At 44.4% G+C, this 24,553-nt stretch overlaps 2 protein-coding genes across 32 annotated transcripts in view, besides 2 other annotated features; one reads left to right on the top strand and one right to left on the bottom strand.

The window, feature by feature from the left end:
* The window catches only part of DOCK1 (dedicator of cytokinesis 1), a 547,089-nt gene that overhangs the window by 228,140 nt on the left and 294,396 nt on the right, over window positions 1-24,553 (top strand). The window lies entirely within an intron of this gene.
* The window catches only part of INSYN2A (inhibitory synaptic factor 2A), a 61,162-nt gene continuing 38,471 nt past the window's right edge, over window positions 1,863-24,553 (bottom strand). For 10 of the 11 annotated variants that reach the window (XM_005252694.5, XM_017016539.3, NM_001039762.3 and 7 more), the window contains 2 exons: window positions 20,285-20,356; window positions 1,863-4,453 (listed from right to left, as the gene is read on the bottom strand). In XM_005252694.5, coding sequence (XP_005252751.1) covers window positions 4,270-4,453; window positions 20,285-20,356 — 256 coding nt within the window. In that variant the 3' untranslated portion in view covers window positions 1,863-4,269. The remainder of the gene's footprint in view (window positions 4,454-20,284; window positions 20,357-24,553) is intronic. The other variant, XM_047425639.1, reaches the window with a different exon arrangement.
* Window positions 4,393-5,592: an enhancer, noted in NCBI's record as "BRD4-independent group 4 enhancer chr10:128936224-128937423 (GRCh37/hg19 assembly coordinates)". NCBI's record gives its function as "activates an origin of replication core promoter dependent on BRD2, P300/CBP, MED14 and CDK7 cofactors, and independent of BRD4, by STARR-seq in HCT116 cells {active_cell/tissue: HCT116}" and the evidence as "EXISTENCE:reporter gene assay evidence [ECO:0000049][PMID:35650434]".
* Window positions 14,656-15,855: an enhancer, noted in NCBI's record as "CDK7 strongly-dependent group 2 enhancer chr10:128946487-128947686 (GRCh37/hg19 assembly coordinates)". NCBI's record gives its function as "activates an origin of replication core promoter dependent on BRD2, BRD4, P300/CBP, MED14 and CDK7 cofactors, with strong dependence on CDK7, by STARR-seq in HCT116 cells {active_cell/tissue: HCT116}" and the evidence as "EXISTENCE:reporter gene assay evidence [ECO:0000049][PMID:35650434]".

A 24,553-nucleotide genomic window follows, 5' to 3' on the forward strand; every position in this document is an offset into this window, starting at 1 on the left:
CATATTCCTGTGACCCTGGTATTTTTTCAAGGTTGGTTACTAGCTATGGGTTTACTGCAGAAGAAGTAAAAACCACATTGTTGAATGGGCACAATATGCTCTGCAATCCTTACATATTCATACCAAACAGCAAAGATATTTGCAAAACCAGACTGCCTTAAGTTAATTTTTGCGCAACTTAAAATGACCTTGTCATTGACCAAAATGTATAGGATCCACTGTAGCATGATGACTTTATGCCAGTTCATGAAATGGATGTTCTTTCTGATCTTTGTACCACAGAGTTGTTTACTTTCAGTAAATAAAGTGGCTGCACATGCAGTGCCTGCAAATATGCTAGTGATAGAGTTTCTGTAGGTCAAAGAAGACGTGCTGGTGTGGGAAGCAGCTGCTGTGATCTTTAGGTGACACTGCTGCAGCCAAACTGCCCTGATTCATAATGAAATCAACTTTCACTTGCTGATAAAAATGCTAAGGAATGAGTCCACCAGTGACAGGTTTTCTAAACAGGCCATGGTGTTACTAACACCATGACATAGAAAAGTTCATGCCTCTTTCTTGTTTCCTTTTCTTGCTGTCTTCTAGGAAAGGCCAGTATTTGATGGTCTGTCTTCACAGTTTTAATTAAGAGTTGTGTATCTTGGTTCTGATATGCCCATGTGGTTTCCAAGGAAAACAGTGTTGCAGGCCATCCTCCTTGTGACTGTTTATAGGTTGGAGTTGGTCTGCCTGAGGCTGGGCCATGACTGTGACACCATTTACACCCAGTAGTCCAGCCACATCTCAGATCTCTGTGGCTGTAGATAACTAACTGCCTCTCAGGGTACATGGGAAATGCTGCCAACTGCCTAAGTTGTTTCCAAGGTAGCAAGGTTTTCCCATACTTTGAGCCCCTCCCCATTTATCTTCTGCTGGAGGGTCAGAGATTGAAGGAGCAGATGCAGGACTACAGGACTTCTGCTTCTTGGAAGTGAGTTGCACACTTGTAGAGTGACTGGTGGGCACCCTTCATTGTATCTGGGTGTCTGTAGAACAGGACCTTTGAGGCAGCACCAATAGTTGGCTCAGAAATGATTATAGAATGAGACAGAACCCTCCCTCTGTCTGCTCTGGGCTGTGCATTGGGCCTTCCTTCCCTTTCTGCATGTGTCAGAAGAGGAATCCCCTTCTTCTCCCTGAAGAACATGCGATGGTAGCAGGAGCCTTGAGTGTCGGTCTGCAGTGCCCTCTCCCTTGCACATGGACTCTGTGGTTGCAGATACTGGGAAAAAGCATTGTGGCCTCTCCTCTCCTAGGCCGTCCAGGTGAGGCAAACACCAGCCCACGTGTGCAGATGGGTTAGTATTAGGCTAGTGTCAGCAGGAGAGGTAGGCGCTCAGCCTATCTCCCACTAGGGAGGGGAAGAAGAAAGGAAGGAGGCGGCTGATCCCTTGAGGCTGGGGATGTGCTCAATGGAAGATCTAGAGAGAAGCTACCTCCCCTGGGCCATGGAGGCAAGATTTACATGCCACAGTGTACTGTGGCAACACTCAATGTATTTAGCCATTTCTTCTGAGGTTAAGAATTAAACCTCATATACCTCCTGCTATGAGCCTGTGTGCATCCTAAAATGCCACCATGTGTTCCGGTGGTGAAACTCCATGCCAGGGTGCATAGGTGGGCAAGCGTCAGTCCCTTCCCTCCCCAAGCCAGGCCAGCTCTGGCTGGTGGGTCAGGCCCAGGCCTTACGATGCTCTTGTCTTCTGCAGACCGGATGAAATGCCTATCGGCCCAAACATTCTTCCTTTATTATTATTTTCTTAGATTACTTTTATGTTCCCCAATTTTTGAGGCCATGAAATAAGTTTAATAGCCACATAAAACATCTTTGATTTTTTTATTTAAAAATTAATAAAGAACTTAACGACAAGTATAATAATTTAATCTCTATATGCAATGCCATGTGTACATCTACATAAGGGAACCCTGTGCGTTTTACCTTGCTTTTGTATCAGCGTTTTTACTTGAATCTTTCCAAGAGAAGAATCACCATCTGTTAGTGACGTGTTGCAATTAAACTATGAAATGATTTTGACAATAGTTTTTCTATTTTGAACACACTTTAATTTTTAGGGATGAATTAATTTATCTTCAGAAGTTCCTTTTTGACTCTGAACATTTTAATTTTATTTTTTTTTGGTCTAGACTGGTGTGAAACAGTGACATTATTTTGTGTACTAGGATGTCCTCTTGTTTAGACAGATTTGTGTTACTAATTAGAAAACTGCTAATACCCTTATTTCAATTTACTGAGATAGTTGGGATTCTTAAAACATAAGGAGAGAGAACTTGTTGGAAACATTTTTATAACTTTAGTTAAAAACAGTATAAAAAACATGAAACCCATTTTTAAATATTTAGTCTACGTGAAACAGTTACACTTCCTTCATGTTACAGGATCAACTTCCTCATTGTTCTTGCACCAAAATATTTCTCAGTTCCTTTTATTGATATTCAGGGATTCGAACTTCATATAGTGTTTCCGCAGAGGATGTGTGTGTGCACATGTGTGTTTTAAATTAAAGCATACAACTGCAGTGTTGTTTGGCCCCCGAAGAATGTTTACACGACATACTCTTCATTTTTTTTTCAAGGCCCGATCTGGTTACTGATCACTAGGTCCTTGTAGAATCAAAACACTTAGAACTAAAACAGATTTGCTGTTGAGTCAGGAGGAAAATACATGGCAAGAAGCAGCTCCAATCTGACAAAAGCAGGTGAGATCCTTTTACCAAGGTTAGCCACTGTGTGTTTGGCATCTAGTCAATGAGGTGTGCATGTCAGCACTCCACTAGATGTGAAACTGCTGGACAGAAACTTCAAGACTAGGTTTTCCTGTATGCTCACAAACTATTCAAAATTTAAGTTGTACAAAAAAAAAAAAAAAGGCAAAGTAAGATCCCTACTTCCTATTGTGAAAATCAAAAAATTGATAGACAAAGTCATTAATAGACTAGGGGATTTGATTTCTATAAAAAGATACTTGCAAAGGTGCAAAGAAATGAGTGAAAAAATAAAGGAACTAAGATTTACATTGCAATGTGTAATCAAGAGAGAACTCTAAGTGTTACTGTTGATTTAAAAAATACCTAAAAACATTTGATTCACAGCTTTCCCCTAAGTATGTTGTTTAGTACAACTTACTAATAGGTTAAATGTAGGCGACATTGTCCCTTGGTAGCAGCTAAACTAAACGCACTGTTTCTCTTTGAGATGGTCAGGGCTTCCACCATTAATACAAAGCATAACGAATTGTACATAACGTCTGGCTGCACTTACCATGGCTAACAGTGTCTCGGAGGATCGATCCACAAAAACACTGTCTGCCATGGCACAGAATGCCTGTGATTTATTGGTGGGTGGATTATCCATCGTGTATCTCTATGTATGTTCTCAGATTCTTGCCAGAATGTATTATTTGGCCTTTGGGTACCAAAAGATTAAAAATGAGATCTAAGAAAACTTAGTGTCCAATAGCTCTGACCCTGTCTACTTGCAGTGATTAAAGGCATATCCTGACTTTGGGGGACTCCTGGCTGCTGGCCATTTGGAAAATGAGCAGTAAACATGTCGTAAGTCTGGAGATGAAGAGGATGCTAAATTTGAGGTGTCGTTGTGACACTGAGATGTGGTCACTTGGCTTAGCGCTATAGCACATGAAGGCAAATATACATATAGTCACATTTTAGAGATTATTCATGGTCTCCGACCACTTGAAAAAATTGTGCTTTCTCCGGAATTTGATGTGCTGAAAATTGCACTCGCCCCCTGCTTATTTGCAAAATGAAACATAAAAATGAAGTCCTTCGCAAACATAAGGCTTGCTTTTTCTTCTCATTATTTAAAAAAAAAATCAAGGCTTGAAAATAATTATGAGTTATAGCTGTGTACAGGGTGACAGCCTGCCATCTCGCAGGTTGATAATGTATTACTTGCAGATCGGGGGTGGGGGAAAATTTTTACTTATCATCTTTGACTACGTAAGTTTCATTTCAGATTTTACATCCCACATCAGTGAACTGCAAAGAACAGCTGGCAAGGAGTGACACAGAATACCTTGCTTCTGTTAATTATCTATTGGTACAAAGGCCTTTTTGGTACGCAGGGCGAGAAGTGGGAGGTGCCTGAATGGGCACCACAGTTCCCTCGATCCTATTCATTTTGGAAAAGTATTGACTTAAACTCCAGTGGGTTCTAAAGACGGCCTCGAGACTCCAGACACCGTGAGTGTTAAAGGAACCAGAGTTTCCATCTTCCGTGCTTTTTAGATTCAGTTTTGGATTTTTGCTTGGGAGTTGAGGAGTAAGTCTCCTGAGAGTAAGGCGAAGGTATGACCTGAGTTTCCTCAATAGGGTGGAGTTTTCTTAGAACCGGCTGGAGTTTGTCTTCTTGCTGCTTAAAATCCAGCTCCACACTAGAAAAGAGAGAGAGTGAAGACTTTAGCATTTGATCTTTTCCATATGAAGATCCCTCTTAGTGTCAGCAAGATTTGGGCATGATCAGTGTGTGTTTGTAATGTAATTTTATGGTTTAATAATAGCAATTCGATATACTATGTTTTAGCTCTGTGCTCCCGTGAAATAGTTCAAGGAGGCTCACTTCCTTTGGAAAATAACTTACTTGCTTCTGTAGGTGAATCTTTAATATTGTGTTAATGTGCACAGTTGGTGTATGTATTTGTGGAAATGAAAAATGTGAAATATGAATAACCCCATTGTTTGTCCACAGTCTGTTCACATGGGCCTCATGGAGTAAAACAGAAAACCAAAAGTATGAGTGGGCAGGGGTCACCTTAGTACATCTATACCAAGTGCACGCAAGGTCCGTTCCTGTGCAATGTATCACAAGATCAGAGAAATCTATTTCTCTGATCTCCCACCTAAAACAATTCTGGAAGGAAATGACCTTGGCTGACATTCTCCTTGTAAAAGCTTATCTGTCTGAAAATCTGATAAGGGCCATAGTGCCCAACGCTGGGGAAAATAGTGTGTTCATGGAGTCAACACCATTGAACGGTACTCCGCCATTACTAACCACAGTTTCTTTGGGAGAAGCGTGGGGAGTGTTCAGTAAAGACAACACAGAAGTAAAATTCCATCACTCAAGCCATGGCGTGCAAGCACAGAGCCAATGTGGAAGCACATTTGCCAAGCAGTGATAATGTTTGCATTAGAAGATGGTGTTAAAGATGATTTTTGAACTATGTTATTTCTTACAGCATTTCTCCGAAAATTGCTGTCAACTTGTCTAGAGCCCTCTCGTCTCCATGTCTTTGAAAAGGACCACATTTGATCTTCTAACTTGGAGTCCTAACAGGTCTGCTTGGCAGCTGGGATAGGACCCCCGGTCCATGCATCGTTTTTCTGTGATGATCTCTGCATTGAGGAGTTCTGCTTCCCTTCCCACTCACCCTGTCCCTCCTTGGGACCTCTGCGTTCTGGGCCAGGCCTTGGGAGGATTCCGCTCTGTCCTCCTTCCATGTCTGGTCTGGATGCCAGACTAAATGTCAGTAGATTTCAGTAAAGGCTCAGCGTTGATGATAATGCATGAGCTCATAACATTTTATAACCAGTGGAACCGTAAACCATTTATAAACATGAAATCCTATTGATTTAGAGAACCATTAATCCTAGACAAATTTTGACATTTTGGAAAGACAGAAACAGCCAAGCTATATTATCTGGAGTTTTAAAACAAGTTCAGGACCCATCTAATGGGCCATTTCATGTTTTAAATCCACTGTTCCATTTTTCTCATTGTCAGTGACTCTAATATTACTCAAAAAATTAAAAAAAAAAATTGCCAGAGAAGTTTATGGCTAGTGACCTCCTGCTCCCAAAACAAGTTATCCTTTTCCCTTTTTTCGAAGAGCCTCTTTGAGTTATGCTCTAATTTATAGGAAGTAGAATAAAATCTCATGAATTTAAGTCTTGCTAATCCAGACTACGTGATGATGGAGGCATAGTCTCTTCTAAGGACAGTTGTGAAAAGTGCAGTCTAAGGCTGTGCTGCATTAATGAAATCCGGGCCTCAGTTCCGTGATGTGGTGCACTAGAAGGACATGGGGTTTCCACCCTGCCTCTTCCACCTGATGCTGGTTTGGGAGTCGGGGGCTCCTTAAACTTCAATTCTTTCACTTCAAGGGGGAGAAAATAGTTCCTTCCCAGGCTGTCGTAATTACTGAATTGTGGTGACAATCTCTCCCCACTGAAAAATGCCCATGAACGAGCCTCCTAAACTGTAAGATGCAATTTAAATATTATTGTACCATTATTATCTATTGATCACTAATCTTATAATGGAAACAAGAGCTAAGTAATAAAGATATCTATTAGGGATCTCTTCAACTTGGACATTTAACAAGGAAAACAAGAGCCTGTCAATCGAGTCTGTGAATATACGGTATGTTAGGTATAGAAGCGTAATTCTACCAAGGTGCTTTGGTAATATTGAAGGTGTGTTCTCCAGATCGTAACCGTTTCAACAGCCCCAGATTGGTTTTGGGTTATTAGAACAGAGAGAAGGCGCTAGCATCTCCTAGGCTAACAGTACAATTTCGGCTACCTGTAATTATTGAATTCCCATTAAGCAACTACACTGGGAATCCTGTTATTAACCAATTTATCACACCAAGGAACCATGTAATCACAGAGTAATCTAATCTGAGTTCTTGTTAACAAAATGACTCGACTTTATCTGTCGAGTTGATTCCTGTTTGCACTCCCCATTATGCTGCCCTGGGAATCTGCAACCAGAGGCAGGTTCCTTGGTAGAGGGCACTTATGAGTCTGTGAGTGCCCACTTGGAAACGCCTGCCAGCAAGTTGACCCTGAGGTCCGCCCCCCAGCCCATCTCCCCATCTGTCACATGTGAGTTGCAGTGGATCTGCGTGTGGGATGACGCCCGTGCACCAGCCAGGCAACGTGTGCAGAGGTGTGAAGGAATAATGTGCATTGTTCTGGACACTGCTTCCTGCTCAAGGACTTTTCTTGGGGAAGCACACCAAGTCTCTCGGTTGAGTTTGACACACCAAGTCTCTGGGTTGAGTTTGACACACCGAGTCTCTGGGTTGAGTCTGAAGCAGAAACCTGACTGGAGGAGGCAGCATCAGAAGGTTAACGGTCTGGCCAACTCTGGCTGACATCGAACAAAGGTCCCTTTAGTCTTAATAGCTAAATGGATCAAAAGGCAGCAACACCTGCTCTTCTGGTTAGAGTAGTGGACTTGGAGAAAAGCTGCCGGTAGATGTTCCAGGGCACTGGGACTGCCCTGCACACAGACCTCCCTCTGTATTTGAGACAGCGGCTTGTTCAGATAGTGCCTGGGGGCCTGCCTGGTGGAGGGCCCATGGCTCTTGCTTCAGCTTCCCCTTCCTGCTGCCCGGCAGACCTGTGGTGGGAGTGTTGGTTGCCCTACCTGGGGCCACATCTTTGTCCGGTGCTGCCAGCTTCATGATTATCACTTTCTCCCCACCTGAAACGCCTTTCTGGGCTCATGGCATGGCTGGCATTCCTTGGCCCACTGTTTCTCAGGTCCACATAACCTCCTTGTTGTCTGACCACCTTCCCAAATGTTGCCCAATCCATCCTGTCTTATTTGTTTTTGCACTAACCACAGATAATTATTCGTTCCCATATTACTTGCCTTCATCTTCCTAAATGCATCTTCTCGAATGCAGGCACCATAATCAGAGATGCCATGCGGTCATCCTCTTTCTGTTTCCAGCAACTATAGCAGGGGCTGGGTCCTAGCAGTTGCCTACGTAATATTGCTAGAATTAATGAATGAGAACAGAGTCTTAAAAGGCAAATTCTGGCCAGGCACGGTGGCTCATGCCTGTAATCCTAGCACTTTGGGAGGCCGAGGTGGGCGGATCACTTGAGATCAGGAGTTCAAGACCAGTCTGGCCAACATGGTGAAACCCCATCTGTACTAAAAATATAAAGTTTAGCTGGGTGTGATGGTGCATGTCTGTAATCCCAGCTACTCGGGAGGTGGAGGTTGCAGTGAGTTGAGATCGTGCCACTGCACTCCACCCTGGGTGACAGAGTGAGACTTTGTCTTTAAAACAAAAAAAAAAAAAAAGCAAATTCTACCTCACTTTTAGTCCCAGTTGCCCTGGACTGCTTTGTTTTGGCCAAAAATTATGTTGTGTCCTCCCCTGTGTCCTCCCACAATGAGACCCCTTCCTTGCCACAGACAAATAGGGCTCTGCCTGGAGGCATTGTCAGAACCACTCCAGATGGAGTCTGTGGCCTGGTTCTATTCTATCAGAACTTATCGAAGATCCTGAAACATTTTCTGCAAGACATACTCCAGGATCTTTTTGGAGCCTGGCTCCCATGCCACGGTCCCCTCCTTTCCGTCTTCTAGGATTCTACAGTAAGATCTTGGATAGAATGGGTGGGGCCAGCAGGGTCTGCTTGTGAGTGACCAGCTACCACAGTCGCTGTGCTAAGGGGAGCGTGAGAGTTACTTTGTCCCCTTTTCACTTGCCTGTGGACAGCAGGTGGAGGTCTAGCTGGATGTTTTCTGGGTGATGTTTGTTCTGAGCACCATCACGGTCCCAGGCCACCAGACGTGCTGTGTGCACCTGCTTTCCCAGGGCGGCTCCAGTGCAGGGGCTCATTCTACAGCCACACGGGCACGTGGGAAGCCGGGGCTCCAAACCTTGTTGTGGTTTCTGAGGACTCTGGCTGTGGCTTTGCACAGTCCCCTTGCAACCTCCCAGGCCTCACTCTCCAGCAGCTCAGGAGGCAGGAGGCTGCAGGTGGTGCTGCTGCCCTCCTGCTGGAGGGATCTGGTGTTTGTAAAGCATGGGCAGGGGAGTGTCCATGTCATGAGGAATTCTTACTCCTGGGGAGGAGCAGCAGCCTGGAAAAAGTCCTGATTCTTGAGATTCAAAGCATGAGTCTGAAGCAGCTGGAGCCAGGCCAGCCTTACCTGTGCGGGGTGTTCTGTCCTATAAACACCTGAGTCAAACACAGGCTGTAGATTTTGCTGGGTGAGAAGGGAAGATCCCTGGATGGCTGGGGATATTGACAAGACACGAATTCCTGGGGACTGTAGGGATTTACCTTTGTAGCCCTCTCGCTGCCTGCACCTCCATTCTCCCTCCAGATAAGGGAACCATCCACCCAAACACTCTGTGCCCTGGGGCTGTGTCGCCCTCGCTGTGCTCTTGGCAAGTCCCTGTGATGCATGATTAAAGCAACTGAGAGTAGATTTAATTTCTTGGTTGGTCTTTCCCTTTTCAAAATGAAAGTTTTAAGTGTGGGGACTTTCTTACAACATGATTATTCTGTACATTTCCAAAGAAAGAAGAATCTGCCCTACATCTCAGGCTGCTCTCCAGCCTGCACCTAAGCTTTATTTTCTTCCCAGAGACTGTGCTAGGCTTTGTAGTAACACTTCTCCCCGCTGCCGCATGTGATTTTGCAGAGCGGCATCCTTCTTGCTTCTCCAGCTTATTCTCTGTTTGTCTCATGCTCCTATAAATACTCAGGCCCTGCCACAGTTTCTTTAGCAAGCTGTCACTGAATCCTCAAGATAATTTAAGAGGAACACATTTTTAAAGTTGCCTTCTGCAGTCGTCCATGTGTAACAGTTAAGAGTTAAAAGCAGGACAATCTGGTGCCCCGGAGCTTGCTTTCTGGAAGGGAAGAAAACCCTTTGTCTTTGGGGTCTCTAGCCTCGACAGGGCCATGTGGCTCGGTGGCCAGCAGGTCAGAGGCCTCTGCCTTTAATTCTCTTTGAATTAGATCTCAGAGTCTTCCCCAGTGCTAACCGTGGCTCTGTGCTGACTCAGGCTCTACCACTGTGGATAAATCACCTCACCTTGGGGACCTGAGCTTGCTTGGCTGTGAAGTGATGGCTGAGATGTGCTCCCACTTCTCACAGCAGTCTCCTGGAACAAGGCCTGGGCCCAGGAGGGCAGGTGCACCAGGATGTGGGCTGGCTTTTATTGTGTAGCTTTGGGTAGGACCAGCCATGTCCCCAAAGCACAACAATTTATGTCAACTGACATTGGCGCCAACTTGGCCGGTTTTATGTGAGTGCCATGGGCAACACCAGCATTGTCCAGAGGAAACTAAAAGTTGGGATCTGGATCCCAGGCCTGGCTCTCCCCCTTGCATGGGAGGTGAATTCAGGCAAGTCCTTTCTGGGCCTTGGTTTATGGATGTGACCCTGGCCACCTCGCCAGGCAATAGAAGAACCAGGACCCCAAATATTTGTTGTTCTCTTCTGAACACATCTCCGTGTGCATATCTGAGGGGCACTGGAAATCCAGCATGTCCAGAACCAGATCTTTCCCCCAGCCTGCATCTCTGTCCTTCCAGACTCAGCCTGCAGCCCCCATTCATCTCCCTGGATGACTGCAGACCCTGGAATCAAGCTCAACTTGCTCCTCCTGCCTCAGCATCCCTGGGTCGAGTGGATTTACCCTCAGAACACCCGGTGTCCTTCCTCTCCGCCCACCTTCCACTGCTCTAGTCCAGAACTCCAGCAGTTTCCTCCTTGGCCATTGAAACAGCTTAGTCTCCCTCACTCTCTGTATTCTCTCCCTCTCCAGTTACCAGAGTCACCTTAGGAAAACTGGCAAACTCCTTCTCAAATCCCTGCTTATCCTTCAAAACCTAGGTCACACGTCACTCCTTCTTTCTGTGGATTTTCTAGAATAACAAAGTCCACCCTCCCCCCTGCCTCATCCACACACCTCTGGGATGAGTTACTGCTCTGGCAGCATTGTCTCTAGGTTTCCATGAGAGCCTGTCTCCTGTGGGATCGTAGCTGTCTTCCCCCAGGTCTGTGAACTCATTGAAGGATGGACCATGTTTAATTCATCTTTTGTCTGCAGTGCATTTAGCACAGTGCTGGCTCTGAACCTGCTCTATTTGTTTGTTGAATTACAATAAACTGATGAACTGAACCAAATCCCCTCACTTCTAATCTCAGCAAAGTGCTGCCGCCCTATTTTCTGTTTTCATTTAAAATTTATACATTTGTATAATTCTATTTATTCTGTCTATAGAATTTGTTATATACTATTTCTATATTATATACCTACATTAAATATATATGGATCTCATCCTAATAGTTTAAAATATCAGTGGTTTGTAGTTAACTGGCTTTTCAACACTTTAAATATAGAAATGATTCACCGTAACTTTGTATCCTTCCTTTACCACTATTTTACATGGTAGGTGCATTAATCAATGTTTATGGTATCACTGTAGGGCTTCAAATACCAGAATAAATGGCTAATCCATGATAGTAACACTCAAACTGTAAGATCTGTCCCCTTTTCCTGGTATACTATGAACAAGAAATTATGATTATAGTTTTTTTAAAAAAGCATTAGCCAGATATCCTAGCTGTATATTTTACTATGAAGGATCCAAAGTTAGAGTTAGACGATGAGCTGAGCTTTCCAAATGCATCTTGGATGTTTTCCGTGACCATACTGGAGAACTTGCTTGACTGAAGCTCATCCTAGGTGCCCATCTTACCTGTGGCACTCTCTGGAGTGCACCTGCGGCTCTGGGTCCTGAGCCTCATCTAGGTGCCTGGGTCTGAGGGCAGGTCAGATGCACAGGGGTCAGAGAACCTGGCATCCCATAAAATAGTGCCACCGAGGAGCAGAGGCAGACCCAAGTCATTTGGATTGCCTCTGCCCATCGTAAGTTCTCCATGAGGAAAGACACCCCATGACTAACAGCACCGCCACATGTCTATGAAGCATATCTTATGCCATCCCCCTAGGAAGCCAGGAAGACGAGTCATGATAATCAGAGGAGTCAGTCCTTTCTGAGACGTAGCCTGCAGAACACTGCTGTTCCTGACCTCAGTGAAGAACAGCCAGTTTTCCAACTTTTGACAGAAACTGTGTTATAACTGCCTTGAAAAGGAGATGACACAGGGCTGTTGTCCTCCTGTTCTAAGCTGGTTGCTGTGAGTCCCTCGTGGCCAACCCAACCCTGAGTGGGATCCCATGACCCAGGGCCATCACCTTGCCTGCCTGTCTCCTTTTGAAGATGGGAGTGCGTCTGTCTAGAGACATGGGTGACGTCCCGGGCTCCCAGTGTTGGTGTGAAGGCTACAAAGCCACCCTGCCTCCCTGGGCCACCAGCCCGGAACCCTGGTTTCTAGATGTGGTCAGGAGCTCCCACTCCATCCTGATACCCATTGAGAGCATCATCTCCACTAAACGTAGCAGTGATAGTTCTCATCACACACGGAAACCATTAGCTGCTTGTGTGTGTCATCTGGTGTCACCAGTGACCGGTCTAAACGTCAGCCTGTGCATTCCTGCAGGAGGTCCCTTCTCAAACAGGTTCTTTCAAGACGCCTATCTGTGAGGAAGAACCTGCCCTGGGGACCCCGCACCCTGAATTCCCTAGTCACTCTATTCCCCATGGAATTTCATACGACCCAGCCCTAGACATCGTGGCCAGGACTGCGTCCCGTATTTACCCCCAGAAAAATCTCCATACTCATCTAAACATGAATTATCTTTATCTTCCCATGAAACTGACAGCGTAGTCCCCTCATGCTGTTTTGGACATTGGTAAATGCCTCCTTAACTTTGACCTTGGGGTATAACCAAAGGCTGGGACTATCAGTATAATTAGCCTTTCTCTGCTAATAAATTTTAACTAATTGTTTCACAAATAATATGTTGAGATGGGTAATCAGTTTTAGTTACAGTTAATGGCTGTAACAAGTTTCCTAGCATCTAAATAAGAGAATTAAGGCATTGCTAAACATTAGTAAAAATGACTAAACCTAAATCCGTACATATTCGAGGGACATAAATAATATATTTTTGGATTTCAAATAGAAAAGAAAAAACTTGGATTATTAGCTTTGGGAATTTTCAAGAAGAATTTAGAGATCTGTCAGAATCATTCTTTTTTCCTGACTTCATTAAACAAAAGTATTTCCTTACCCCAGAATAACATTGTGTATGTAAGGTGTTATCCAGGGATTCCTTTCTCTCATCTTCCTACCCTGTCACTCACCATAAATACTAAGAACAGAGCACTAAACATTAGGCAAAAGGCGAATTTCCCCCACCTCAGTTCATGCTGCTAAAGAACTTAATATGCACAAGTGGTGGTCATTGAAGCAGGGCTGGAAAGGGCACTTCCATGAAGAGATAATCGCTGAATGACAAAGGCTGCAGAGACTCCACTCCAAGTGGGCTCCGGACAGGCTGGAATTGGCACGGATTCTGCATACAAATGCAATTACCACTCTTAACAATAGGTCTCCATTAGTCAGGAGGTGCCCGGTTCTGCCGGCTGTCTTGATCGTGCACTATCCTGACCAGCTTTCTTTTTGCAATACACTCGGAATCAGTGAAGTGCCAGTGTGCGTGATTTTATCTAGAACTCTTTGCACCCTCTGTTTTGTGGTCTTATTGGTGTTGTAATACATTACCAAGAATGATGTGAGAAAATACAACCCATCACTTTTGTGAATTCTTCATTCAGTCTCATAATGTTAGATATTTTCCTCATCTTTCCTGAAATCCTCCAGTCATTTGGGGAAGGAACTTGCCTTCTTTTGGAGCTTCCTACTTGAGAAGCCGTCAAGGATTGTGGTGGACTGGGATGTTCTCCAGCCTGTCTAAGGGGGAGTGTTCACGGGTCGCGAGGTTTCCCATCCATCCTTGGGGGTGCCCTGGCTGTTTGTCCTCCTAGTTCCTGCCAGTTGTTCCTAACGCCGTAGCCTGGAGGGCTCTAGAGAGGCCATCCAAATCCTCCCTAACCTGGCCTCCCTCCACGATTATCTTGTTTTCTTTGGAGTCTGCTTTGCCAGGTCGGGCACCCTGGCTTCCTTCACCTCCTCCTCGCCTGCCTTTTACGTCCTTGCACCTGTGGCTCTCACCTTCCATACAGAGGGCTCTCTCTCGCCAGAGCTCTGTCCTTACCCTCATCCCGGGGTCCCAGGGTAAGGGGCATGCATGGAGGTGTCTTCAGCAGCTTCACACTCCTCCCAGTCTCCCAGGGCCTGGTGCAGAACTTGTCCTTAGGAGGTCCCTTGAAAAACACCTGTTCAATTAATACCCTTTAGGACCCCAAATGGAAAGGGCTAAGGCATTTTTATCAAAGTGGTTGTTTAAAATTCCACCTGTCCTTGTCTGGGCACGGTGGCTCATGCCTGTAATCCTAGCACTTTGGGAAGTCGAGGCGGGTGGATCATGAGGTCAGGAGTTTGAGAACAGCCTGGCCAATATGGTGAAACCCCATCTCTACTAAAAATACAAAAATTAGCCAGGATTGGCGGTGCGCGCACGTAGTCCCAGCTACTCGGGAGGCTGAGGCAGAAGAATTGCTTCAACCCAGGAGGAGGAGGGTGCAGTGAGCCGAGATTGCACCACTGCACTCCAGCCTGGGCAACAGAGTGAGACTCTGTCTCAAAAAAAAAAAAAAAAAAAAAAAAAAAAATTCCACCTGTCCTTGACCATCATGGATCATATCAAACAGTGAAAGCATGGAGTACACAGCAATGCGTTTCACAAGCTCCCCCTCTCTGATGTCAGACAAGTGGTGTGGAGCCTTGTGGCGTTCCCATCCAGTCAGGTTCCAAGCCCACTCATTGATCCACTGCAGAATTATTAGTGTCACTTGAGGCCACTTTGTGTGGTGGCTGTGATGATCCAGAAATGAAGCAGACACAGCGTGCTCCGGGAGGATGTGGTCACTCAGGGCTTGCAACTGATGGTAGGAATTCTACCACTTGACGAGAAGATTCTAAATTCTGGGAGAGATGCTGTTTAATGAATCTGAGTCAGAATTCCTGTTATGTTTTAAATCTTGCTTTCATCTCCAAAAGCCCTTGGATTGCAGTTGGTCCATGTTATTTTCATGAAAATGTACACATTAGAATTCAGGCCATTTTGTCGCAGTACTATGTTACAAATTAACCATTTCAGCGAAGGAGAGAATGGCTGGTTTGCCGATGATGTTTCATTGTTCCTTTCTGAAACCACATCCGAACAAAAGCTGAATCATCCGTGGTGTGACTCATCAGATTAGTCCGACAAAAGAATTACCAAAATAGGGCTGGAGAGAAGAAATTTCAGCTGCTTATGAGCAAAGATTATATTAGTAATTTATCCACAAAACATTTTCTGAAATAATTACGGCATATTTTGACAAGAAATATGGAAGATAAGCCAGAAAAGTTTTCCTAAAGAAAACGGAAACTGGAATCTCTTTTAATCTTCTTTCATGCTGAGATGGTTTTAATTAGAGTAGCACAGTCGGTCTGCATCACAACCGAAGGGATGTCTGTCATCTTAGAAAAAGATGTAGCTGTGTCAACCATCTCAAAATTTGTCAGAAAGATCACGTTTGGTACTTGGGGTTTCAGTGGTCTAGGAGGAAGCCCATCAATCCTCTGCCGAAGAAGTGTTACTCAGCTCTGAGTCAATAGATTTGCCAATAAGGGAGAGGTGTTTTTCAGCTGAGGAATGCCTTGTGACTCTCCACACTTTTACCCTTCTGTGCAGTCTCTTGAAACCCATAGTTACATCCCTTGCATAATTGTAAAAAGCAGCTCCTGGGATTTCAGATCTGGAAGGGACCTTGATGATCCCTTAGTGCAACCCCAGAGGACCTGGAGACTGAACAGACACCCCACCCAAGAGAGAGGGCAGAGAAGCTCAGCCCTAACCTTGCAGGTACGCGGCAGGCTCTCACGGGCTGATGTTTCTCACCTTTCGCTTGTCGTACTGGTGGTTTTCCCCCCGCCTTGAAATTGCATCAAGACCGTTTGTCCTTTTGATGCTTTTCCCTAGTCCTCTATATTTCCATGACAGAATTATTTTTCACAGAGAAATATGTACCGCCTCCCATGGCAAAGGTACCCATTTATTACAGGCCTGTGGTGCTAAAGCCCCAGGCAGCCGGGTCTTGAACACAGTATCCTTTTCATCTCCCTGGGCCAGGCATTACTGGAAACACGGTGGATAGCTATGCTGCTCGGAGAGGGTAATTGGGTTTCGAGTGAAAAGTGGTGTTTAAATGCAAGACAGGCAGGGTCAAATTCATTTCCCTCCAGGGCTTTTGGCCTTCCAGAAAGCAGGGTATGACATTACAATGTGTGAACACTGGCAGCTGTGATGGCCCCACGTGTTCTCAAGCCTCTGGGACAACCACAGTCATGTGACATTTTAAGATTTATTTTGAAATTCCTTTAAGCTACCCAATCCCGGGGTGTTCCAGGCATCCCATGGTGCATATGGAGAAGTGGGTTGTAATGGTGGTGTAGGGACTCACAGGAAAGTTCCTGAACTCCCGGATTCAGGTCCTTGCAACTAAGAGCCAGGCTTTGATCTGACAGCAAGGACTGTAACCTGAGCTATACTTTCCCCTGCTGCTGGAATTGTGTTTCTACAGATTCATATGCAGGAATTCAAGGAGGACTTGGCTGTAAGTTTGCATGGGAGAACAAGACATGGATGTAGATTTGTAAAGCCTTTGAAATTTGGAGACACCCTCTGGCTCACTTGGAGTCTATACTTCCGAGATGCTGTGGCCACCCATGTACACTGCTACTGAGTCACCTGAATAGGTGACTCCTCCTGCCCAAGGAACTCACTGGGTTCTGAACACTTTTCTACCGAAGAAACTTCTATTCTTAAGCTTCTGACATTTGGGGGTGACTCACAGAACTGACCGCAAGCTGCGAGGTCATCCAGCTCAATCCCCATTGCTCACCCTCCCCTTTCTCTTTGCTCAGTGGGACCCTGAGGGAAGTGACCCTGTGTATCAGCAACTCTCAGCCACCAGGGCAGAATCACACAGACCAGTGCTTGGTAGTCAGATAGGATTACATAAGCCCTCTTAGCTGATGTGCTAGATTAACCATATGGCCCTGTCCTTTCACGACATAAGTGGTGCACCCATGATGCTGGGACCCTTAACTAACTGGCTTCTCTGTCTTTGTCCTGTGACTCTCTGTCCTTACTTCTCAAGGTTCATGCTTACCAAGAGGATGCTAGATTTGTTCCTGGACCTGTTTATACAATTAGTACTCACTATTGAAATGATGTGATTATTGAATGTCATGCAAACCACTGAGGCATGAGAAGATAGTCATTGCTGTGGATTCAGTGCTTTGGAAAGAGTGGGGTACCACAAAATATTCAATGAAAAAGGTAGAGACAGGTCAAGTATGGATTCAGAAGGATTCTGATCTCAGATTCTGCCACAGGACTTTGCTCCACTTTAAAGACAGGAAAATTGGTGTGGCTCATGGCAGATCATTTGAAACTGTAGTGGGGGTGCCACATTCAAAGAAAACGTCTGGGCCTCACCTCTAAAGGCTGCCCTAACTTGAAATCATTCAAATGGGAGATTTCAATTCATGCGATTCAAATTAAAATAACATGTTTAAGTTAGGTACGTGTCAATTTTTTATGATTTCCCCATTGATTGATTTTTCAATTAATGGACCAGAAGTGAACTTTCACTCCCTTTATCATCTCTTCCTGCAGACCTCAGAAAACTCTTATCCAACATAATAACCACCTTAAGAGTAATCGTTAAACTTTAATTATTTCCATTATAACATGATAGGGAGTTTAGGAAGCAGCATTTGATGAGCTATGTTCCACTTGGTAGTCACAGTGCAGTCTTTATTTGAATACTAGTTCATTTCTTGAGTTTCACACTAGTTTATTTCATTGACAGGACTCAATGAAATAAAGACTTTGGGAGGCAGCAGGAGTCCAGCCGAAATATTACTCTGCAGACTGTCCTGGGACCAAAAGCCTTCCAGTGTAACTTCTGTTTGTAGCAGAAGTTTGGCTGTTGTAGGGATGTTTTGTCATTGTGACCACTCCAAAGGGAGTGATTTTAAAAATCAGGAAAGAAAGATCTAAAACTCCACTCTTCCTCAAACACTACCTCTTCTAGAATGCCTCTCCCATTTATAAGGGGGTGACAGTCGGGTCTGCAGGCTACCGAGGGCCACATCTCTATTCAGTTTCTGAAGATGCCACCCAAATCACCCGTCTGTAAAATCACATCTGCAGTAAAAGTTCTCGATGAGTAGTCATGCATTTTCCCTGCTCGTATGAGATAACCAGAGCGATCACAGTGCCTCGCCCTCTACCTAGTGAGTCTTCCTAAGTCTTGGCAAATTCCTGTGGTGCTTGGTCACTCGCAGTTCTTCTAGCAAGTGGACCAGTGGCTGATGTATTCGGATTCATGTAGAGTGATGTTTGAGCCAGTTCAAAACAGTGACCACTCGAGTCATTCCTGAAAGGACAGATTTCTGTCCTTCAGAGACTTATTCAGTCACTTTTAATGTCACTTTTTATAGGAGTGAATTCTGGATTTAGAGCTAAGTTCATTTAAATTATTTCAGTTAGGTTAAACAGTGTTCACATATATATATATATTTTTTTTCGATCACCCACAGAATATTACGTAGGTTTAGGCTGAACAGCTCATTCTCTGAACCTACCCTGGATGTCTTGACTCACTGTTGCTTGGTTGCGTTAAAGACGGTATGAGCTTTAGCTTCCAAACTAACAGAAGCTGAACTCTGAGTACGTGCCAGGTCATCTACACTCTGCACTTCCTAACGTACTGATGTTCACGGAGGGTCATTTTATGTCAGTGTTACAGCCCTTTGTTGTTGATTCAAAATTCTCTTTTGCAAGATGAGTGGAGTGAAAAGTTTCCCATTAAGCAAACTTCTCTGATCTGTTGCTATCATTGAGTTTCTAATTTGGAGGAATTGTTGAAGAAAAGACCTGCATGGATGCCTCATTTTAACCTCCTCACTGGCAATTGCCAAGAACAGTCAGCAGCTTGGCGTGCCATGCCAGGCTGCTGCAGGGGCCCCTCCTCCCTTCCTGCTGCCAGGAGGCCTTACCAGCTTGTGTGTGCCTCTTACAACACTCTAAGGTGGGGGTGGTTTCAGTAAGGTAGGCTTTCTCAACCTCAGCACTATTGACATTTGGGACTGGATAGCTCTTGGTTGTGGGGGTTGCCCTGTGCAGGCAGCATAGGATGTCAGCAGCATTCCTGGCCTCTACCTGCTGCATAACCGGCAGCAGCTCCTCAGTTGTGGCAACTGAAAACGTCTCCTTCCAGACTTTGCAAATGGCCCATTGGTTCAGAACCTCTGAGGTTAAGGAATGTGCTGATGTGGCCTTCGGTGCCTATCTCTACCTGTGGTTTCTTCTGCCTCCTCCCAGACAAGGTCTCCAGGTGACCCAGCTTTGCTTTTGCTTTTAAGGAACCTGGGCCCTATCTGGGATGCTCTGTCTGGATCGGAGGCATGGACGGCCAGGTCTAGGCTTTCCCTTGGGAGAGAACCCTGATGGGTTGAAGATTGTGTAGCCTCAAGCCTCTTTGCTCTCCCCATGTCTGTGTTCTTAATGCAGAGGACAGTAACTTTGAATAACTTTTTAGAGGGTTTTTTGGTTTGGTAATTGTTTTTTGATAATTTGGTGGATCACTAAAATTATTCTCCAGTCTAAACTTTAGAAAAAGAACTTACTCATAACATTTCTCACCGCTTTTATATTTTGTTTGTGAAAAATTACATTTGCAAAAAGAAAAGAAAAAAGGATAGCCATCCTTCTGAAGGTTTTGACTATATCTTAAAATCCTAAATTACTGATGCAGGCCAAACACAGCTTCTTCCTGTTGGGAGTTTCTGCTGTATTCTTGTTGATGTCAGTCATATAAACAAACTTCAAATTAAAAACCACAAGGAACAGCTGTAGGGGCTCTGGAGCAGGGATTCTGCCCGGAGACAGGCAGGCAGCACAATCCTCGAGAGTTCCCAGGAAATGAAATTCCACATTTGGTGTGAGCAGCCCAGGTCTTTCCATGGTATTCCTAGCACATACGGTGTGCTTTCAAGCCTTTGATCTATACCCTCTGAAGGGCCTATGTTTTACAGCCTTTCCAGAACACAGAGCCCAGGGCTCACACCTATCGATTCCAAGGGAGCAAGCCATCAAACTTATACCAATTCTTGAAACCACTAAGATACATTTGCAAGATAAATGGGTTCAAGCTCTCCTACATCCCACGGTTCTATACTTGGGGTGGGGTATTTAGAGGTAGCTTAGAATTACAGTCAAGTAAGGTCCTTCACTTTTTGTCTGATAGAATCATCCCAGCATGGCCCCAGATCGTTCTTGCATTTGTGGGTAAACATCATTTGTCACTCATAATAAGAAAGTGGGAAGAGGAGAATGTTAACATACCTATAGATAATACATGCACTGTTCCTGCATGTGTCACAATTAGCTGTGTCTTGCCCCGTCCGATATGAAAGCCTACAAGATAAGAACAGGAGAGCATTACAAGCGGTGGCTGGGGGTCACTGGCTTTATAGAGCAGATGCCTCAAATCAAATGCCTTCCCAATGCCAAGCTCATCATGGTCATGGAAATTGATTAATGCATGCTTCCCAGTTTGCTCCTGTCTCTGCTTTCGTTGTACAAAACCAATGCAACACCTACAGCTAAGATGATATTTAAATTAAATTTAGAAGTGAACATAAGCTCCTGGATGAAGTAAATAATATGATTTCGTTATAAGCACAGGGAATGTGGGATGTTTCAATGCAGATTTATGGTGTTTTAAAGAAACTTTGAGGAAAAACCAACCACATACACATATGCTGACTCCATGGCTTATGTTTGCTCTACCCCACCTGTCCTGCTACAACTGGGACTGGCAAAGTGCGGCCTGCAGGCCAAATCCCGCCGGGGCCTGGTTTTGTCCAGCAAACTAAGAATGGATTTTACATTTTTAAGCACTTGAAAAAAAATTGAAAGCATATAATATTTGTGACACATGGAAATGATCCGAAATTCAAATTTCAGTGTCCATGAATAAAGTTTTTACTTTTGAAAATAAAATGGTGAAAATTTTTATGAAAATACCTATTTCTAGTATCCTCAATTTTGCCTCTTGGTCTGCAAATCCCTGAACATTTACTCTCTGGCTCTTTAGAGAAGAAAATGCCAAGCCTTATGTTAGAATGTCTTACTCCCATTGCCATAACTTCTGAGTTACTTTCCCTGGCTTTATTCTCTGGTCAGTTCTGTCAGACCCCTGAGGCCGGGCAGATTTTGGCCTTTGTAGGGGAGGTTGCTAATTCTCCCCCCTAATTAAAAAATTAATAATAATGATCTTGGGGTCTTTCTGTAGTATATTGTTGAAGGTTGTATAAACATAAAGGGTTGATGATGAGAATTTTCTGGACCAGGCTGGAGTTGCCTTGGCTGTTTCTTGGTCCAGCCACGTAGGAACAGCTGGGGAGTGTTTCATGCCTTCACAGTTTCTCCTATTTTATCCAGCCTTTCCTCTCTGACATTTTTAACATGCAGATGTGTATTTTCTGGATATTATTTTGTGTCCAGGCACAGACATGATAACCGGAATGTTAAATTTGTGGCAGGAGAAAAGCTCCCATCTGCATTAGCTTATAAACACTCTGGGGGCAAATTTCCACGTACAGAGCTACTCACCAGAGTAACAGTGTGCACAGAAGGTCTTCTGTCAACATTGCTAGTCAGTACTTTTTATCCCCTTTGCTGTGTAAACTTCTCTGCATCATGGGTTTTAAATTGAAAATAACTTTTGTTTTCCTCATTATATTGTCTGTTACATCAACATTTGACAAAAGGATTGTCTGCTACATGCCGTGATTGTCTCAGTGGGCTTGCAAAACTCAGACGTGACCTCATGGTTATGTGCAGTTTGTTGATCAAGTGACCATATTCTGCTCCAAAGTGTTGCCAGGCACTTTCTGTGATTCATCATATTTCAGCCAGAATTGGAATTACAGTATGGCTGTCTCTATCGTCTTTCCATCATCACCTCCCACATGAGGTGCCTTTGGAACCCCACAGCAGGCCATTCCGTTCTCCCGTTGGCTTTGTCAGGAGAGAGGGGGATGAACAGCCTGTGCCTTATCCCCTCCCCTTGTTCCTCACCAGACACGGTGATTTTGTAGTCCTTACCCCTTTCCTCCTCATGGCAAGCCCCAAGAATGCATTCCTCCTGCACCTTCCCACCTGGCTCCAGATTTGTCCACCCTATGGCAAGGCTCTTCCACATGATGACATCACCCTTCTCCCTTCTCTCTTGCCCTATATAGACTTACAGCCTTTCTCCATCAGCTAATTCTACTGGAGCTCGGCTCTAAGCTCAGTGCTGACCAAGGTCATTTTGCACAGTGAAGTCAGTGCCATCCTTGAGCTCAGGTGCTGGCAATGGCACGGTCCACGCTGAATGTGTTGTTAAACTGTTGGCTTGGGTGGCAGATGAGGTACTGCTCTACTATTGTGTTGTGCTAGTGGGTATAAGCCAGCAGTCAGGAGAAAGTACCTAGTACTTGTCTATATGTGCTAGTCATATCCAAATTTTAGGTTCTTACAGTGGGCGAAACCAGGGATATTTACAGTTTTCTGAAGGCACTCTTTTTGTGCTCATAGGAAAGTGTGAATTCTAAGCTTATAGAACCTTCCTGCCCTAAACCTCAGGGGAAATGTCTATCAAGCCTCATCAACATCAACACTCCTTCCTTGCCCAGTGTCCAAGTTTCCCAGTGCCTCACTTGCATTAGAGCCCTGAGCCTTCTAATTATGCTAGCCCCACTTACAGAGGAGCATACAGTCACACTTCAGGTCCAGGATCTCATTATTCTTAGGCCCCAGGCTTCTGATGCTCCCTGTCACCTTGCTTGTATGCTGGGGCTGGTGTTCTGCACCACATGTAATTGGCAGCTTGGGATAGGCAATGAACCTGACAATGAGAGGACAAAGGCTTCAGGCACCTGAAATGTACAAGAGGAATCTTCCAGGACCTTGGAGTACTTCAGTAAGAAATTGCTTTTCTGAATCTTTTCTTCTCTTTTCTTTACTTTTCTTTTCTCTTTTTCTTCTTCTTCTTCTTCTTCTTCTTCTTTTTTTTTTTTTTTTTTTTTTGAGACCAAGTTTCGCTCTTGTTGCCCAGGCTGGAGTGCAATGGGCACAATCTGGGCTCACCACAACCTCCGCCTCCTGGGTTCAAGCGATTCTCCTGCCTCAGCCTACCGAGTAGCTGGGATTACAGGCATACGCCACCACTCCCGGCTAATTTTGTATTTTTAGTAGAGACGGGGTTTCTCTATGTTGGTCAGGCTGGTCTTGAACTCCCAACCTCAAGTGATCTTCCCGCCTCGGCCTCCCAAAGTGTTGGGATTACAGGCGTGTGCCACCATGCCTGGCCCGAGATATTGCTCTTCTAAAGCCCTTCCTGAAAAGACTTTACTGCAGTCACTTTGTAGAAAGCACATATTCCTCCATTACGGTCAGTAAGCAAATAGTTATTAAGTACATACTAAGTGTGAAACATTTTTCTGGCTCTACAGGAGACATTTGCGAATAAGATGGAGTCCTTGTCCTCACAAAGCTCACAGTGGCGTGGGAGTGGCAGAAGGGCAACATAAATGCATAAATGAGCGAACGGTTAATTTTTGATACTGCTGAGTGTTAAGGAAGTGTTGTGAAGCAGTATTTTGGTCTAGAATGAACTCTAAGGAGGTGACATTTTTAGTGAGACCTGGATGGTAATGAAAAAGCAGTCAGTCATCTGTTGACCCAGGGTTGGATGTTGCAAACACAAAGACCGTCACGTGTTAACATCCTGCAGTGGGAATGATGTTCCTCTGTTTGCAAGTCAGAAAAAAAGGCCAGTGCTGCTGGAATAGATGCAGCAGGTGAGAGTGGGGAGAGATGAGGACATGTGTATAAAATGAGAGGCCCTTTGGGCATTATTTTAAATTGAATGGGAAGCCACTATAGTTTTTCTTATAGGTGGTTGAATGACATGGAAACACTTCTTGACTTTTACTCTCAATCCTCTCCTTCTATAACATCATTTTCACTCAATTTTCTTTCTCTTGCTTCTTTTATTTACAACCCAGCCCAATTCACCAATTCCTGAGAAATGGTTTGGCTGACGTTTGTTGGTAAGAACCAAAGGAGTCATTGTGTTTTCTTTGGAGACATATCTGTGGTCATTCTTTTTTTAGCTAGTTGAAAACAGTGGGTGGTCTGTCAGTTTCTAAATATATGTATGTTTCTCCCATGTGTGAGAATTATTTTTAGGACTTCATTACCATGAAGGTGAGGTTTTGTTTAAGTTTTGTTTGGGATCTTTCTTTTGTTTAAAGGAATCAGTTGTTTGGAGTCCATGAATGTCAGCAGGAGATTAATTTGTGAATAAAATTTAAAGTGTTGACCTTGTCATGTGGTTAATTCACAGGCAGCTGCCAGCAGCTGGTGTCAATCAGGGTATGCCTGCTAAAATTTTATTAAGCACGAGAGTGTTCTCAATAGAGGGCTTAAAACTATGTAATCCATTGTGCTTACTGCTTTCATAATCCATCTAATTGTCCTTGAAGCTTCCAAGCTGTAGGGTTTGGCTTCACTGATAATTTTATGGTCACATTAATAATTGGGCTGCAGCATCTGAATATG

This window comes from Homo sapiens, chromosome 10, assembly GCF_000001405.40.
Source record: "Homo sapiens chromosome 10, GRCh38.p14 Primary Assembly".
In the NCBI taxonomy this organism is placed as follows: Eukaryota; Metazoa; Chordata; class Mammalia; order Primates; family Hominidae; genus Homo; species Homo sapiens.